This window comes from Homo sapiens, chromosome 3, assembly GCF_000001405.40.
Source record: "Homo sapiens chromosome 3, GRCh38.p14 Primary Assembly".
Lineage (NCBI taxonomy): Eukaryota > Metazoa > Chordata > Mammalia > Primates > Hominidae > Homo > Homo sapiens.
Genome location: NC_000003.12, coordinates 44,844,435 through 44,860,863, shown reverse-complemented (window position 1 = coordinate 44,860,863; position 16,429 = coordinate 44,844,435). Strand labels below are relative to the sequence as shown.

The window sequence follows — 16,429 nt, the reverse complement described above, 5'->3', positions numbered from 1 at the left end:
ATAGTTAAAATGTTAAAAAAATTATAGAATATGTATATGCATTTTTTAAACAAAAATGATTTCACAGTTGAACATACTGTTTAGCAGCATTCTTTTTGTATCTTCTGTTTAGCAAGTTTTTATGGAAGTCCTTCCACACCATGCTGCTTCTCTCACAGGGTGGTTTTGTGGCTCAAATAAAAGCACGGATAAGGCCAGGCACGGTGGCTCACGCCTGTAATCCCAGCACTTTGGGAGGCCAAAGGTGGGTGGATTACGAGGTCAGGAGTTCAAGACCAGATTGGTCAAGATGGTGAAACTCCATCTCTACTAAAAATACAAAAAAAATTAGCTGGGTGTGGTGGCGGGCACCTGTATTCCCAGCTACTTGGGAAGCTGAGGCAGAGAATTGTTTGAACCCAGGAGGCAGAGGTTGCAGTGAGCCGAAATTGCACCACTGCCCTCCAGCCTGGGTGACAGAGTAAGGCTCTGTCTCAAAAAAAAACACGGATAATTTCAGTAACGCCAATATGGTACAAACTGTCCCATTTTGCAGATGAGGAAATTGAGGCTCAGAGGTCTCACTGCACCACTCCATTGAGTAAGGAGCTGCTCAAAGATGATACCCTCTGAAAGCTCTTATCAGGAAATCAAGAGGTGTTGCATTGATCAACTCTGCATGCTTTAAAGAATGTAAAGCAAATTTTCTTAGAACAAACGATGCCTCTACTAGCACTAAAGGTTAAGCATCTCAGAGCCACCTCCTCTGTAAAGCCGTCTCTGCTACTCCCCTACCTTTGTACCAGTCCTGTGGTTGTTCCTCTGGTTGTCTGTTTCTCTGCTAGCCTGCAAGCTCCTTGAGGGCAGGGACTACATCGTTGTTAATCTCCAGGTCCCCAGCCCTGGTGATGATGGCTGAAGTGATGCCATCCTCAGACACTGCTGGGAAGTGATTTCTGCCTCTAAGAAACTCCTGTGTACACACATCACCTAGGGATCTTGCTAAGATGAAGATTCTCATTAGGTCTAGAGCTAGACTGAATTTTGTTTGTTTTTAGAGGGAGACAGAGTCTCTCTGTCACCCAGGCTAGAGTGCAATGGTGTAATCATGGCTCACTTCAGCCTTGAGCTCCCAGGCTGAAGCCATCCTCTCAGCTCAGCCTCCTGAGTAACTAAGACTACAGGCAGGTACCATCAAGCCCAGATTATATATATATGTATTTTTTGAGACAGGGTCCTGCTCTGTCTGCCAGGCTGGAGTACAGTGGTGGATCATAGCTCACTGCAGCCTCAACCTGCTGGGCTCAAGTGATTCTCCCACTTCAGCTTCCTGAGTAGCAGGGACTATGGGTGCATCATGCCTGGCTAATTTTTGTATTTTTTGTATAGACAGGATTTTGACATGTGGCCCAGGCTGGTCTTGAACCCCTGGGCCCAAGTGATCCACCCACCTTGGCCTCCCAAAGTGCTGGGATTACGGACATGAGCCACCGCACCCAAGCCGCCAGCTCCAAAAATTAGATTCCAGCCCTCAAAACCCACAACAGGACCTAATTAACCTCGCCTTCAAGGTGTACAATAATAGAGTAAAGGCAGCCAAGTAGCAATGTTTTTCTGAGTTGCAATTAGTTGCCTCCACTGTGAGAGAAACCCCAGCCACATCTCCAGCACACAAGAACTTCAAAACGTCTGAACCGCAGTGGCCAGGCTTTCCTCCAGGACCGCCTCCCACAGGAGCTTGCTTAAAGTGCCATAAATCTGGCCACTGGGCCAAGAAATGCCCACAGCCCTGGGATTCCTCCTAAGCCGTGTCCCAACTGTGCGGGACCCCACTGGAAATCAGACTGTCCAGCTTGCCCTGCAGCCACTCCCAGAGCCCCTGGAACTCTGGCCCGGGGCTCTCTGACTGACTCCTTCCCATATCTTCTCAGCTTAGCAGCTGAAGACTGATGCTGCCCGATCGCCTTGGAGGCCCCCTGGACCGTCACGGACACCGAGCTTCGGGTAACTTTTACAGTGGAGGATAAGTCCATCCCCTTCTTAATCAATACAGAGGCTACCAACTCCACATTATCTTCTTTTCAAGGGCCTGTTTCCCTTGCCTCCATAACTGTTGTGGGTATTGACGGCTAGGCTTCTAAACCTCTTAAAACTCCCCAACTCTGGTGCCAACTTGGACAACGTTCTTTAATGCACTCCTTTTTAGTTATCCCCACTTGCCCAGTTCCCTTATTAGGCTGAAATATTTAACCAAATTATCTGCTTCCCTGATTATTCCTGGACTACAGCCACATCTCATTGCCACCCTTCTTCCCAACCGAAAGCCTCCTTTGTGTCTTCCTCTCGTATCCCCCCCACCTTAACCCACAAGTATGGGACACCTCCACTCCCTCCCTGGCAACCCATCACACGCGCATTACTATCCCATTAAAACCTAATCACCCTTACCCTGCTCAATGCCAGTATCCCATCCCACAACAGGCTTTAAGGGGATTAAAGCCTGTTATCACTCGCCTGCTACAGCATGGGCTTCTAAAACCTATAAACTCTCCTTACAATTCTCCCATTTTACCTATTCAAAAACCGGACAAGTCTTACAGGTTAGTTCAGGATCTGCGCCTTATCAACCAAATTATTTTGCCTATCCACCCTGTAGTGCCCAACCTGTACACTCTTTAGTCCTCAATACCTTCCTCCACAACTCACTATTCCATTCTTGATCTTAAAGATGCTTTTTTCACTATTCCCCTACACCCCTCGTCCCAGCCTCTGCTTTTACCTGGACTGACCCTGACACCCATCAGTCCCAGCAGCTTACCTGGGCTGTACTGCCGCAAGGCTTCAGGGACAGCACTCATTACTTCAGCCAAGCTCTTTCTCTTGATTTACTTTCTTTCCACCCTTCTGCTTCTCACCTTATTCAATATATTGATGACCTTCTACTTTGTAGCCCCTCCTTTGAATCTTCTCAACAGGACACCCTCCTGCTCCTTCAACATTTATTCTCCAAGGGATATTGGGTATCCCCCTCCAAAGCTCAATTTCTTCTCCATCCGTTACCTACCTCGGCATAATTCTTCATAAAAACATACGTGCTCTCTCTGCCGATCATGTCTGACTGATCTCTCAAACCCCAACCCCTTCTACAAAACAACAACTCCTTTCCTTCCTGGACATGGTTGGATACTTTCGACTTTGGATACCTGGTTTTGCCATCCTAACAAAACCGTTAAATAAACTCACAAAAGGAAATCTAGCCGACCCTATAGATCCTAAATCTTTTCCCCACTCCTCTTTCCGTTCCTTGAAGACAGCTTTAGAGACTGCTCCTGCACTAGCTCTCTGTGACTCATCCCAACCCTTTTCATTACACACAGCCAAAGTGCAGGGCTGTGCAGTCGGAATTCTTACACAAGGACCAGGACCGCGCCCCATAGCCTTTTTGTCCAAACAACTTGACCTTACTGTTTTAGGCTGGCCATTATGTCTCCGTGCAGCGGCTGCTGCTGCCCTAATACTTTTAGAGGCCCTAAAAATCACAAACTATGCTCAACTCACTTTCTACAGTTCTCATAATTTCCAAAATCTATTTTCTTCCTCCCACTTGATGCATATACTTTCTGCTTCCCGACTCCTTCAGCTATCCTCACTCTTTGTTGAGTCTCCCACAGTTACCATTTTTCTGGCCCGGACTTCAGTCCGGCCTCCCACATTATTCTGGATACCAAACTAGACCCCCATGACTGTATCTCTCTGATCCACCTGACATTCACTCCATTTCCCTATATTTCCTTCTTTCCTGTTCCTCATCCTGATCACACTTGGTTTACTGATGGCAGTTCCACCAGGCCTAATTGCCACTCACCAGCAAAACAGGCTATGCTGTAGTATCTTCCACATCTATCATTGAGGCTACCGCTCTGCCCTCCTCCACTACCTCTCAGCAAGCCGAACTCACTGCCTTAACTCAGGCCCTCACTCTTGCAAAAGGACTACGTGTCAGTATTTATACTGACTCTATGCCTTCCATATCCTGCACCACCATGCTGTTATATGGGCAGAAAGAGGTTTCCTCACTACGCAAGGGTCCTCCATCATTAAGGCCTCCTTAATAAAAACTCTTCTCAAGGCCGCTTTACTTCCAAAGGAAGCTGGAGTCATACACTGCAAGGGCCACCAAAAGGCATCAGATCCTATCGCTCAGGGCAATGCTTATGCTGATAAGGTAGCTAAAGAAGCACCTAGCCTTCCAACTTCTGTCCCTCATGGCCAGTTTTTCTCCGTCTCATCAGTCACTCCCACCTACTTTCCCACTGAAACTTCCACCTGTCAGTCTCTCCCCACACAAGGCAAATGGTTCTTGGACCAAGAAAAATATCTCCTTCCAGCCTCACAGGCCCATTCTATTCTATCGTCATTTCATAACCTCTTCCATGTAGGTTACAAGCCGCTAACCCGCCTCTTAGAACCTCTCATTTCCTTTCCATCGTGGAAATCTGTCCTCAAAGAAATCACTTCTCAGTGTTCCATCTGCTATTCTGCTACTCCGCAGGGATTGTTCAGGCCCCCTCCCTTCCCTACACATCAAGTTTGGGGATTTGCCCCTGCCCAGGACTGGCAAATTGACTTTACTCACATGCCCCGAGTCAGGAAACTAAAATACCTCTTGGTCTGGGTAGACACTTTCACTGGATGGGTAGACACCTTTCCCACAGGGTCTGAGAAGGCCATCACAGTCATTTCTTCCCTTTTGTCCGCCATAATTCCTGGGTTTGGGCTTCCCACCTCTATACAGTCCGATAACGGACCGGCCTTTATTAGTCAAATCACCCAAGCAGTTTCTCAGGCTCTTGGTATTCAGTGAAACCTTCATACCCCTTACCATCCTCAATCTTCAGGAAAGGTAGAACGGACTAATGGTCTTTTAAAAACACACCTCACCAAGCTCAGCCTCAACTTAAAAAAAAAGAACTCTCAAAAATAGAGCCCAAAAACTCACCAACCAACCAATCAATTACACTAAATCCCCTTGGATGCTCTCTAATTGGATGTCCTGCGTCCTCCCAATTCTTAGTCCTTTAATATCTGTTTTTCTCCTTCTCTTATTTGGACCTTGTGTCTTTAGTTTCTCAATTCATACAAAACCACATCCAGGCCATCACCAATAATTCTATACGACAAATCCTCCTTCTAACAACCCCACAATATCACCCCTCACCCCAAAATCTTTCTTCAATTGAATCTCTCCCACTGTAGGTTCCCACGCCGCCCCTAAGCCCACTTGAAGCAGCCCTGAGAAACATTGCCCATTATCTCTCTATACCACCCCCAAAATTTTTCGCCACTCCAACACTTCATCACTATTTTGTTTTGCTTTTCTTATTAATATAAGAAGACAGGAACGTCAGGCCTCTGAGCCCAAGCTAAGCCATCATATTTCCTGTGACCTGCACATATATATCCAGATGGCCTGAGCAACTGAAGATCCACAAAAGAAGTGAAAATAGCCTTAATTGATGACATTCCACCATTGTGATTTGTTTCTGCCCTACCCTAACTGATCAATGTACTTTGTAATCTCCCCCACCCTTAAGGTTCTTTGTAATCTCCTCCACCTTTAAGAAGTTTCTTTGTAATTCTCCCCACCCTTGAGAATGTACTTTGTGAGATCCACCCCCTGCCTGCAAAACATTGCTCCTAACTCCACCACCTATCCCAAAACCTATAAGAACTAACGATAATCACACCACACTTTGCTGACTCTCTTTTCAAACTCAGCCCACCTGCACCCAGGTGAAATAAACAGCCTGTTGCTCACACAAAGCCTGTTTGGTGGTCTCTTCACACAGACACATGTGACACTTTCCTTGCAATGAGTGATGTTCTGGGTTGAATTGTGTCCCTTAAAAAGATATGTTGAAGTCTTAACCCCTGGTACCTGTGATATGACTTTATTTGGAAATAGGGTCATTATAGTTATAATCAAATTAAGATGAGATCCTTAGGGTAGGCTCTAATCCAATATGACTAGTGTCTTTCTAAGAAGAGATAGAGGCACAAGGAAGAACACCAAGGATTCCTGACAACACCAGAAGCTAAGAGAAAGGCATGGAACAGATTCTCCCCTATGGCTCTGAGAGACTGTGGCCCTACTCACACCTTGATTTTGGACTGCTCGCCTCCAGAACTGTCAGAAAATAGATTTCTGTTGTTTTAAGCCACCCAGTTTGTAGTCATTTGTTATAGCAGCTCTACAGCTGATACAGGTGATCAGAACCAAGCCTCTTCATTATCAGCTTCAATATTCCACCTTCTTCTACCTCTGAGGCAGTTGCAGTGTCTGCTCGCTACCTTATATTTAATACTACATTAAAGTTCCTTTTTCATTTTTGGCCCTTACGGATTTACTATTTATTATTCCTTGAGAGTTCAACTATGCATTACAATTTTTTCCTGCAGTTTTATTAAAATTCACCCATTTTGAATGTATAGTTCCCTTTTTTTTTTTTTTTCACTCTGTTGCCCAGGCTGGAGTGTAGTGGTACAATCTTAGCTCAATGAAACCTCTGCCTCCCGGGTTCAAGCGATTCTTGTGCCTCAGCCTCACGAGTAGCTGGGATTACAGGCATGCGCCACCACACCCAGCTAATTTTTGTATTTTTAGTAGAGATGGGGTTTTGCCATGTTGGCCAGGCTGGTATTGAACTCCTGGCCTCAAGTGATCCACCTGCCTTGGCCTCCCAAAGTGCTGGGATTACAGGTGTGAGCCACCACACCCAGCCCTATAGTTCATTTTTTAGTAAACATAGAGTTGTGTAGCCATCATCACAAAGCAATTTTAAAACATTTCCACCACCTCAAAAAGTTCCCGTGTGCCCAGTCATTCCCACTCCCATCCTAGCTCCAAGCAGCCAATGATTTACTTTCTATCTCTATAATTTTGCCTTTTCTGGACCTGCCATAGAAATAAAAACATATAATATGTGGTCTTTTGGGTTTGGTTTTTCTTTTACTTAGCATTTTTTTGAGATTCATCATGTTGTAGCATGTTCCCTTTTTATTGCCAAGTAATATTCCATAATATGGAAAAATGTTCAATAGCATTAGTAATTAGGAAAATGCAAGTGATATAACTACACACCTAGGATGGCTGCAGTAAAAAACCTGACAATAACAAGTGTTGGTGAAAATGTGGAGAAATTGGAATACACTGTTGGTAGGAATGTAAAATGGTATACCTAAATGGTAAATTTGGAAAACAGGCAATGTCTTAAAAAGTAAAGACATGCTTTTCAGATAACCCAGTAATTCTACTCCTAGGCATGTGCTCAAGAGATATGAAATATATGTCCACACCATGACTTACACATGAACATTTATAGCTCCATTATTTATAATAGTCCTAAACTGGAAACAATTCAAGTATCCATCAGCTGTTGGATGGACAGTGTAGCATATCCATAAAATGGAATATTTGTCTCAATAAAAAAGAAAGAAGGCCCAATACACAGAAGTTCCTTGAGGGCAAGATTTGCTTTGTTCACTGATGATTAGTGCCTGGCATATTGCAGGTGTTCATTAAGTATGTGTTCAATGAACAACAGAATGAACAATGTAAGTCACTTTAATTATTATCTTAAAAAATGGCTTTATTTACAGTCATGGAAAATGCTCAAGAAAATACCTAAAGTAAGAATACAAAAATAATCTATATTAACAAGTTTGCTTCTTGTACCTGCTACTAAGTCAGTCATTAAACTCACTGCAGGTGTTGGAACCACCATATATTGTTAGAACTTCCATAAGAATCAAAGGAGATTATGGCATAATCTAAGAAGAAAATGATCTGGCTAATGTCCACTGTAAACCTTAGCTACAGGCTTTTATTTTTACAAAGACAAAAGGTTTTCCCTTAAGTTGATTCAAAGCCTTGAAGTAGGCCACTTAATAGCAGACTGCTGACTGTCACAGGGTGTATATGGATGCAGAATGTTCATCAGAAACTTGAGGTGGTTACCACCACCTTATAAACATTTAATAATTAAGGTCCATAAATTCAGCTCTCCTAAGTGGCCAGGAGTAGGTCTTACTTGTAAAAGAGAAGAAACATCTTCAAACAAGGTGATGCCTAGGTAGCTGACCGGAATCCTCAAGATTCACTTCTTTTCTTTTCTTTTAAAAATACATTTTCGGCACGCAACTTTTCTGTCTCCTAAGTAATTTTAAAAAAACAAAAAGAAAAAAAATAAGGCTCTAATTCTTACAGGAAGTGGTTTTTTTTTGCATTTATTAGGTGTATATTTCAAATTAAGACTGGAATTTTCAATGTGCAAACTAAACGTTAAACAAGAATCTGCTGTCTATGAAATGCCACTGATTGAATTAGGCTCAGAATAGCAACGACCAACTTTTTTTTTTTTTTTAATTCAGGAAGCTCCCTGAAGTAAGCAGTTAACTGATTCAATAATTAAGTTTTAATTTGGTTTCAATAAAATAATCATTTTTAAACCAGACAGAATTTATTCAGAATAATTTTTAGGTTTACCTCAGCAAGCCTGACATTTTCCTTCTTTAGTCGCACTACGTACTGAATCTTCTGATGCAAATTTTGGTGACCTACCAACTTTCCATTTTCCTCAGCAAGACACTCCACCTGCTTCCTTAACATTTCCATCTCCTGCAGGTAATCAATCCAAGGAGGGAAAAATGAGAAGTAGGTCTTAATTTTCTTTTAAAGTCACATTATTTCTTGCCTTCCAGGAGCACAGGAAGTCAGAGAGTCCAGAATCCCAGCTTTCAAGGCCTCACAACTCTTCATACAATAAAGCAACTCTGAACTAAGGACACCCAATCACAAAGTGAGTTTTACGCTAATTAGTTCTATTCATTTGAGTGTTCTAAGTATCATGAAAACACCAACACACTAGCACACCTGGGATGTTCTCTCTCTTTCTTCATACATTTCTTCCAGCTTTGATCTCAGTTGTTCTTTTTCCTGGAATGCTTTAGACTCCAAAGTTTGGGTTCGTTCGACTTCATCAGTCATTCTAAGGCATTCCATCTCTTTGTTGTAAAGGGCACTTTGGACTTCTTCTAGGCTGTAGGAATAGGTTATCACTTTATAGTATTTGAAAGAAACATAATCATAAAACAGTGCTCAAGTTAGACATGTGTACTGCAAGGCCAGAATTTTGATTTGAAAGTATTACTAATCTTTAGCCCTCCTCTGCTGATGGCAAAAGAAGACAGTAAGTGCTACATACCAGATATGCTTTTTTTGGTTTTGTTTTACCCAAGACTTTCATTTTGGAAAACTCCTCAAAACATTTTCTAAACAAAAAAAATTTAGAATAAAATTGTTTAGATTCAGCCCACTTGGGGCAAATGTAATTTAAGTATTATTATAATCTGCATGGTTTATTCAGTATCCCCTATCTTGATCATTTCTGATTTCAAAAACTGGTCCTCAGACAGTGGGACACCAGTCATTTCTTTCAATTCATTTCTTCAGTTGTTTAGAATTTATACACTTCATGTACATTTCACTGACTTTATAAAATGATCTGAATCCTGTAAGTTTCCCAAAACAAATGCCTACTTCACCCCCCACCCCCCTTTAGGGACAGGGTCTCACTCTGCTGCCCAGGCTAGAGTACGCTGGCACCATCATAGCTCACTGCAGCCTCCAACTCCTAGGCTCAAGCAATCTTCCTGCTCCAGCCTTTGGAGTATCTAGGACTACCAGCATGCACCACTGTGCTTGGCTAATGTTTTAAAAATTATCCGTAGAGATGGAGTCTTGCTATGTTGCCCAGGCTGGTCTCAAACTCATGGCCTCAAGCAATCCTCTTCTCCTTGGTCTCCCAAAATCCTGGGACTACAGGTGTGAACCACTGTGCCAGGCCTGCTTTTTATTTTATAATGCTCATGAAATGTAATGTTGACTGTTGAAATGATGTATTATTACACCATTCAAGGCCAGCTAATTTCTAGCTGTTGATTACTGAAATGATATAATACACAAAATTTAATACACCACTCAAAGCCAGCTAATTTCTAGCGGTTGATTGCTAAGATGATATAATACATAAAATTTAATACACAAAGGGCCAGCTAATTTCTAGGCAAGTTGTTTTTGGACTACATTCTGTGGATCTCAGAAGGACAGTCTGGGGAGAAGGGCACTGATGCTCTCCCAATTCATTGTTGGCTTTGTATTGGTTCCCCATTACTTTTAAAAGCATCTTCACAAATATATGGGTAACGTAACGTTTAAAATTGCTGTTGTAGGCTGGGATTGATAAAACAGTGCATGCCGTTTGCTGAAGTGTGCTTCACTTGCCCGCAGTGAAGTTTGGCCTGCTGTATGTTCCAGAGACAGCATATCATGAAGACTCTTGGTTACTAGACTATGAAATAAACTATACACCAAGTTAAATAGCTTTTACTCTTTTTGCTAGAAGACCTCAAATAGATATTAGTTCTAAAATAGCTGTAATTCAACCAACTAGCTGGATTCTCAAAAATCCTGTAAATAATCTGGGTTTCTGACTTAGCTTTACCACTAATTAGCTAGGAGCCGGACTCTGAATGGCTCATACACAGGTGAAAAGGCTGTTTTCCTATGTATACTCTGATTCTATGAAGCAAATGAATCAATGATTGGGTAACAAATCTTTCATAAATTGGGTGGTCTTTGTCAGCTGATCATTAAAAAGAATTTTTGATGGTAAATCACCATGTAATTTTTGACATATTTACTTGCATAAAGTTCAAATAACTGGAATACAGTACCCTATCAAAACTCCTTCATTGCCATTTACTTAACTATGTGAACAAGATTTCTCAGCATTTATATCTATAAAAGCAGAAAATACGAATAGAGTTGATGCTGAATCCTGTCTCATTTGAGAAGTACAACAGAAAAATGAGCTGACTGAAGAAAAAGCATTAGGTTAAAATACATTAAGAGATGCATTTCCACTAAAATTTTCCCTAAGTATAATAATTACTTATAAAAATTTCCAGTAAATTTAAGGCACACTGATTAATAATTGTAATGTGAACTCAATTGGTAATAAACATAACAAAGCCATATGATTAAAATAAATTTTTACAAATTACTTTCAATTTGTGTGTGTGTATGTATGTACATACATATATTTTATTGTTAAGTAGTATGATGGGGTTATCAATAAAAAAATTTTCCAGAAAATATATTAAATCAATATAAAATCCTGCAGGGTGTAGAAAGGAACTTCAATTACAAAGGAAAAAGGAAAAATGTAAAATTTTAGACTTGGAAATTTGTTCATGTATTTCTTAAACAGAAAGTAGCAAATTAGTTAAATACTTTTAAAAGAATGGCAAGAGCTTTATTTTCTTTTCTCTTTTTAAAAAAATTTATTTAAAAAAAATTTTAGAAATAGAGACAGGGTTTCACCATGTTGCCCAGACTGATCTCAAACTCCTAAACTCAAGCAATCCACCTGCCTCGGCCTCCCAAAGTGCTGGGATTACAGGCGTGAGCTACTGGGCCCAGCCAACAGCTTTATTTTCAAATGTCACTATATTGTATATCCCAGAATGTCTATTCTTTGTAACAATTTAAACTTACAATGAAAAATTTTAGATATAAAGTCAACTTCAAAAATATGCAAGAGGGTATATGATGTTTCAAAATCCTTTAAATCAGTATAATAAGCAAAAATGTTTGAAGATCTCTATCCCTAATAAGGAGTATCTACCCAGAAAAAGCCCAATAGCTCTCTAATGTTGTTTTGTTTGTGTTAATGCCAACCAGCTTACTTAGTTTGAATTTTACAGAAAATATAGTACACCTTGCTCATCAAAGAGTGAGGCCATTTATAAGGCTACATGAATTAATATGAAAACTTTATGAATAAATTAAACTCATGGCTTTAGAAAACATAAAGAGACCCAAGGGCTAGACCAGAAGAAATCAGAGTACTGATCTTTGGGTCTCAGAGGGCCTCAGGTTTTAAATCAGAGGAAACCAGAAGCAGAAGTGAAAAGGGACACCTGGTAGTTACATTGTTCTCATTGTCCATGAGGAAAAGCCCCATCGATTCCTCAAGGGAAGCTAGGCTTTTCCTGCTATTTATTTCTTTAAGATTTCTTTTGAAGTGGCTTCACATGAGAAACCCTTTTAGCAAATGGTATTTAAAAAAAAATCTGTAAACATCTATTAAATTCACTTATTACTGCAGAAGGAAAGAAGTTACCTACCTTGTGGTATATCATTCCTTTAGAGGAGAATAAGGAAAAGATGATCAAGATTTTAAATTACAAAATAGTACACTTACTCTGCTTTCATTTTCAGCATTTCTTCAACTATTTTACTCTATAAGAAGATTAAAAAAAGAAAATAAAAAGATTGCTTAGGTTCTTAAATAACATTGCTTAAAAAAGATAGAAAGGAACCAGCCCATTCTCCTTCATGTGAATAAAATCAAACCAATATCCTTTTCCACAGTGCCAGCTACACATACATAAAGTAAGTACCTATTTCCAAGACTTCATGCACTATGCCCTCTAAGGCTTCAAACAGGCCTTGGTACTTGCTTCTAAATGGAGAATTATATGTGTGCATGCTGAGCAGTAGGCTTGCCATGTAGGCATGAAGACAAATTCTTAATTCTCAGCTGTGTCTAAATACTAATGGTAAATATCATGCTAAACAGTGGAAATGCAGAAAAGACAGGAATTTCAATAGTAAAATGATTTCTAAAATATACTACCATAAATACTAACTATAAAAGCATTGCTCAGACAAGAAGAAACTATTACATAAAAAAAAATCTTACTTTTGCAAGTCTTTCTTTGATACTTTCTTCTTGTTCATTCTTCAGCTGTTGATTATCTGGATGATTCTGATCACTGCATAGATTAACAGGGGTGGGAGGAGGCATAGGAAAACACTGCTAAGTATATTCAAGTATCAATTTCAAATTCAAATCCATTATATGCAGCAATGCCAAGGTGTACAAAGAAAGGCTAACTCTATTGTGATTGGGTCAAGTCAGTACAGTTGATAAATGTGATTGACACATGGGGATGAAATAAGGCACTTCCCCAGAACTCAGGATTCCTCCCAGTACAAAAGCAAGATGAGATGAGGTGGGAAATATAATCAAGGATTGGTTGAAAGTAAAATACAGTAGAAACTTAGTTAAAAGTGGTAACATCTGAAGATCGAATGTGAACAAAAGGGGGCTGAAAGAAAGAGCCAAGAGCCTGGTATGAATGTGATCAGCTGGGAGGGGGCACATTTTGGGTAGGCAGGGTCGCTCTGGCCTCAGGCTAGTGGAGTCCTTGACTCTCTTTTGCTCAGGTTCCATAGTCAGTTGGCATTTTCTGATAACCACTCTGCCTTTCCGTGTATGTGGACACCAGGGCCAGATGTCCCAAGCACCAGATATGTCTTCATGGAAAAGGAATGTTCCAATATATAAAGTAAGAAAATTACATTCTAGATAATACATCTATCTCTGTGAGCCTGACCAGGTGAGGATAATAAGTTGAGTTTCTGTGTGCAGCCCCTGGACCAGAGAGACATCCCTCCCTCCCTCCTTGGAGAACCTTCCTGAATGTTGTAGGCTTCTCTAGGAATATCTCTCTCACTGGTGAGTAAAAGACCATTTCTTGAAGGAAAACAGAAGCTACAGTGAGGTTTCTTTCCCTTAACAAATCTGGCAGCCCAGACAAAAATGGTAATGAGTCCTCAATGAAGAAATACCCCAAATCATTAGGGAAAGATATGTTTTCTGTCCACTAATCCAAGGATTGGCAAACGTCTTCTGTCAAGAACGAGACAGTAAATATTTCAGGCTTTGGGAGCCATGCGGTCTCTGCCACAGCTATTCAACTTAGCTATTGTAGTGCAAAAGTAGCCACAACAATATTAAAATGACAGGGTGTGACTATGTCTCAATAAAATTTTATTTACAAAACAGGTTGTGAGCTGAATTAGGCCCCTGAGCTATAGTCTGCCCTTTCTCTAATTTTTCACAAAGAAGGTTCTGAGTAGCTCTTTTATATATAAGGAATGTGAGGCTATGAAATGAAAAACTTTTTTTTTTTTTTTTTTTTTGAGACAGAGTCCTACTCTGTCCCAGGCTGGAATGCAACAGTGCAATCTCAGCTTACTACAACCTCCACCTCCCCGGTTCAAGCGATTCTCCTGCCTCAGCCTCCTGAGTAGCTGGGATTACAGGTGCGTGCCACCACTCCTGACTCATTTTTTGTATTTTTAGTAGAGACAGGGTTTCACCATGTTAGTCAGGCTGGTCTCAAACTCCTGACCTCAAATGATCTGCCTGCCTCGGCCTCTCAAAGTGCTGGAATTACAGGCGTGAGCCACGACACCCAGTGAAAAACATCTTTTAAAAGACATTTATTCAACATCATGATCAGACTATGACATTTGGCAATCAACAGGATGAGTGCAAAGGAAAAAAAAAACACATTAAAACTCTTTGTTAAGACTGCTTTACACTTTCCACAGAACAGAAACTAAACTAACCTGTTATACAATTAGTCACAAATACGGTCCTTGAGTTTTTTACCCATACACCTGAGTATTGTCTAAAACATATCTTCTTTGTAGCAGCTAGGCCCTGCTACCAACTGTGCTTGGCTGAGTTCACAAATCTGTTGTAACCTGTAGTTTCCCTGTCACTTCTCTGGCTCTCCTCTCCTGCTAAGCTTTGTTTCCTGGCATTAATTAAAACCTTCTGCCACTGCCATAACTACTGCTGCTACTGGAACTGCCTGTCAACCTAAAAAGAAACTCAGAAAGACAGGCTCTTTAGAACAAACAAGTTTATCTAGGAATAGCAGAGGGATTGCAATTGCAGGGTATGCAAGCTATGACGGGCCATTAATGTATCCAGGGGAGTTGGGGAAAGGGAAAGCTTTTAAAGACAAAGAGAAATCCATGAAATAAAGCTTGAAATAAAGCTCACGGGTCACAGAAGCTCAGTGCAGGAGTTGGCGTTTATTCATTGGTGGAGATGGCTGTTGCTGAGTAACTGTCCTGGTGCTGGCAGCTTGTCTGAAATACTGCAGGCCTGAAAAATTCCTGTGATAAGCTCTGTTGCAGGGTGAGTGCAGAAGTGGGGCATGTGGGACCTGCAGGAATTTCTTGTGATAAGGTATATTATAGGCATGTGCGGTGAGAACTTTTTTAGGGCCTCCTGACTCCACTTTGTTAGGGTTTTGACATAAGTGACTCCATTCTGGTACTGGCAACTTTCACATGCCTTAGCCACCTTGATTTGATGTTTTGGCAACATAGTAGCCTCAGCCACCACAGGGGCCAGAGTTTCTTTCTTTCTTTTTTTTTTAGGTGCCAGAGTTTCTGTCTCCAAAGTTTCTTCTCTTCATGGGTTCAAAATTGATTGAAGATTGGTTGTTGTAATTACCAAAATCGTTGTAGTTCCCACCATCTCCAAAACTGCTTCCATCATTTAAGTACTAAATCCATTATAGCCATCCCTGCTGCCCCCATATCCACCAATACAGCTGCCTCCAAAGCTACCATTACCAGTGAAATTTTTCCTTGATGACCAAAGTTGTTACTCCCACCAAAACCACCTCCATGACCACCACCAAAGTTTCCAGAACCACTCTGACCTCTCTGGCTGGCTGAAGTACTAACCATTTCTTTCTTCAACATGGTTTTCCATACTTCATGGTAGTGGCTATGTACTTTACGGTATTTCTGAGAGACAATCTTATTCGCAGAGTCATGGCTGTCCTCAAAGGTTAAAAAAGTAAAGCTCTTCTTTTTGCCATTGCCTCACTCAGTCATGATTTCAACCACTCCTATTTTCTCATACCTTCACAATAATCTCTTAGGTGATGTTCTTCAGTGTCTTCTGTGATGCCACCAACAAAGATCTTTTTTACAGTTAACCAGGCACCTGGTCTTTGAGAATCTTTTCTTGACATCCCTCTTTGGTTTCACAACTCTTTCATCTGCCTTGTGTCGCCTTGATTTACGGCTGCATCCATCTCCTCCACAGTGCCATCTGTGAAAAACCAAAGGCCCTGGAATGCTTGGTGTTTGGGTCTCTCATTGCTATATAATCCATGAGCTTTCCTCACTACTCAGAATGGCTCCCCAGACTCTTATTGGTTGTTTCAAAGCTCAATCGTCTGATGAAGAGCTTCTGTAGCTATTCGGGCTATTTAAGAGACTCTGACTTAGATATGTTGGTAGTGGGAAGAAAGACTTGAACGATGCATCCTTAGTGGCATCCATGGGCAAAAGTAGTAAGCTTATGACGTATCTCTGAAATACGGTATTTTAAATTTTCATTTTACAAATGATCCGGAAATGTTCTATGTTCACAGTAGCTCTTGACAAAAGACAGTATACTAAATATAAGGCTTTTCTTTAATAGAATTGGACATATATGGAGCA

General features: G+C 40.9%; 1 protein-coding gene and 1 pseudogene across 15 annotated transcripts in view; both read right to left on the bottom strand.

Annotated features, from left to right (window-relative positions):
* KIF15 (kinesin family member 15) overlaps positions 1-16,429 on the bottom strand; it is a 106,894-nt gene that overhangs the window by 7,824 nt on the left and 82,641 nt on the right. For 7 of the 15 annotated variants that reach the window (XM_017006884.3, NM_020242.3, XM_011533964.4 and 4 more), the window contains 5 exons: positions 12,807-12,879; positions 12,306-12,343; positions 8,912-9,077; positions 8,525-8,656; positions 7,608-8,191 (listed from right to left, as the gene is read on the bottom strand). In XM_017006884.3, coding sequence (XP_016862373.1) covers positions 8,129-8,191; positions 8,525-8,656; positions 8,912-9,077; positions 12,306-12,343; positions 12,807-12,879 — 472 coding nt within the window. In that variant the 3' untranslated portion in view covers positions 7,608-8,128. Of the gene's footprint in view, positions 1-7,607; positions 8,192-8,524; positions 8,657-8,911; positions 9,078-12,305; positions 12,344-12,806; positions 12,880-15,842; positions 16,035-16,429 lie in introns of those variants that run through there. The other 8 variants (XM_017006887.3, XM_047448602.1, XM_047448603.1 and 5 more) reach the window with 4 other exon arrangements.
* On the bottom strand, positions 15,360-16,297 carry HNRNPA1P77 (heterogeneous nuclear ribonucleoprotein A1 pseudogene 77; annotated as a pseudogene).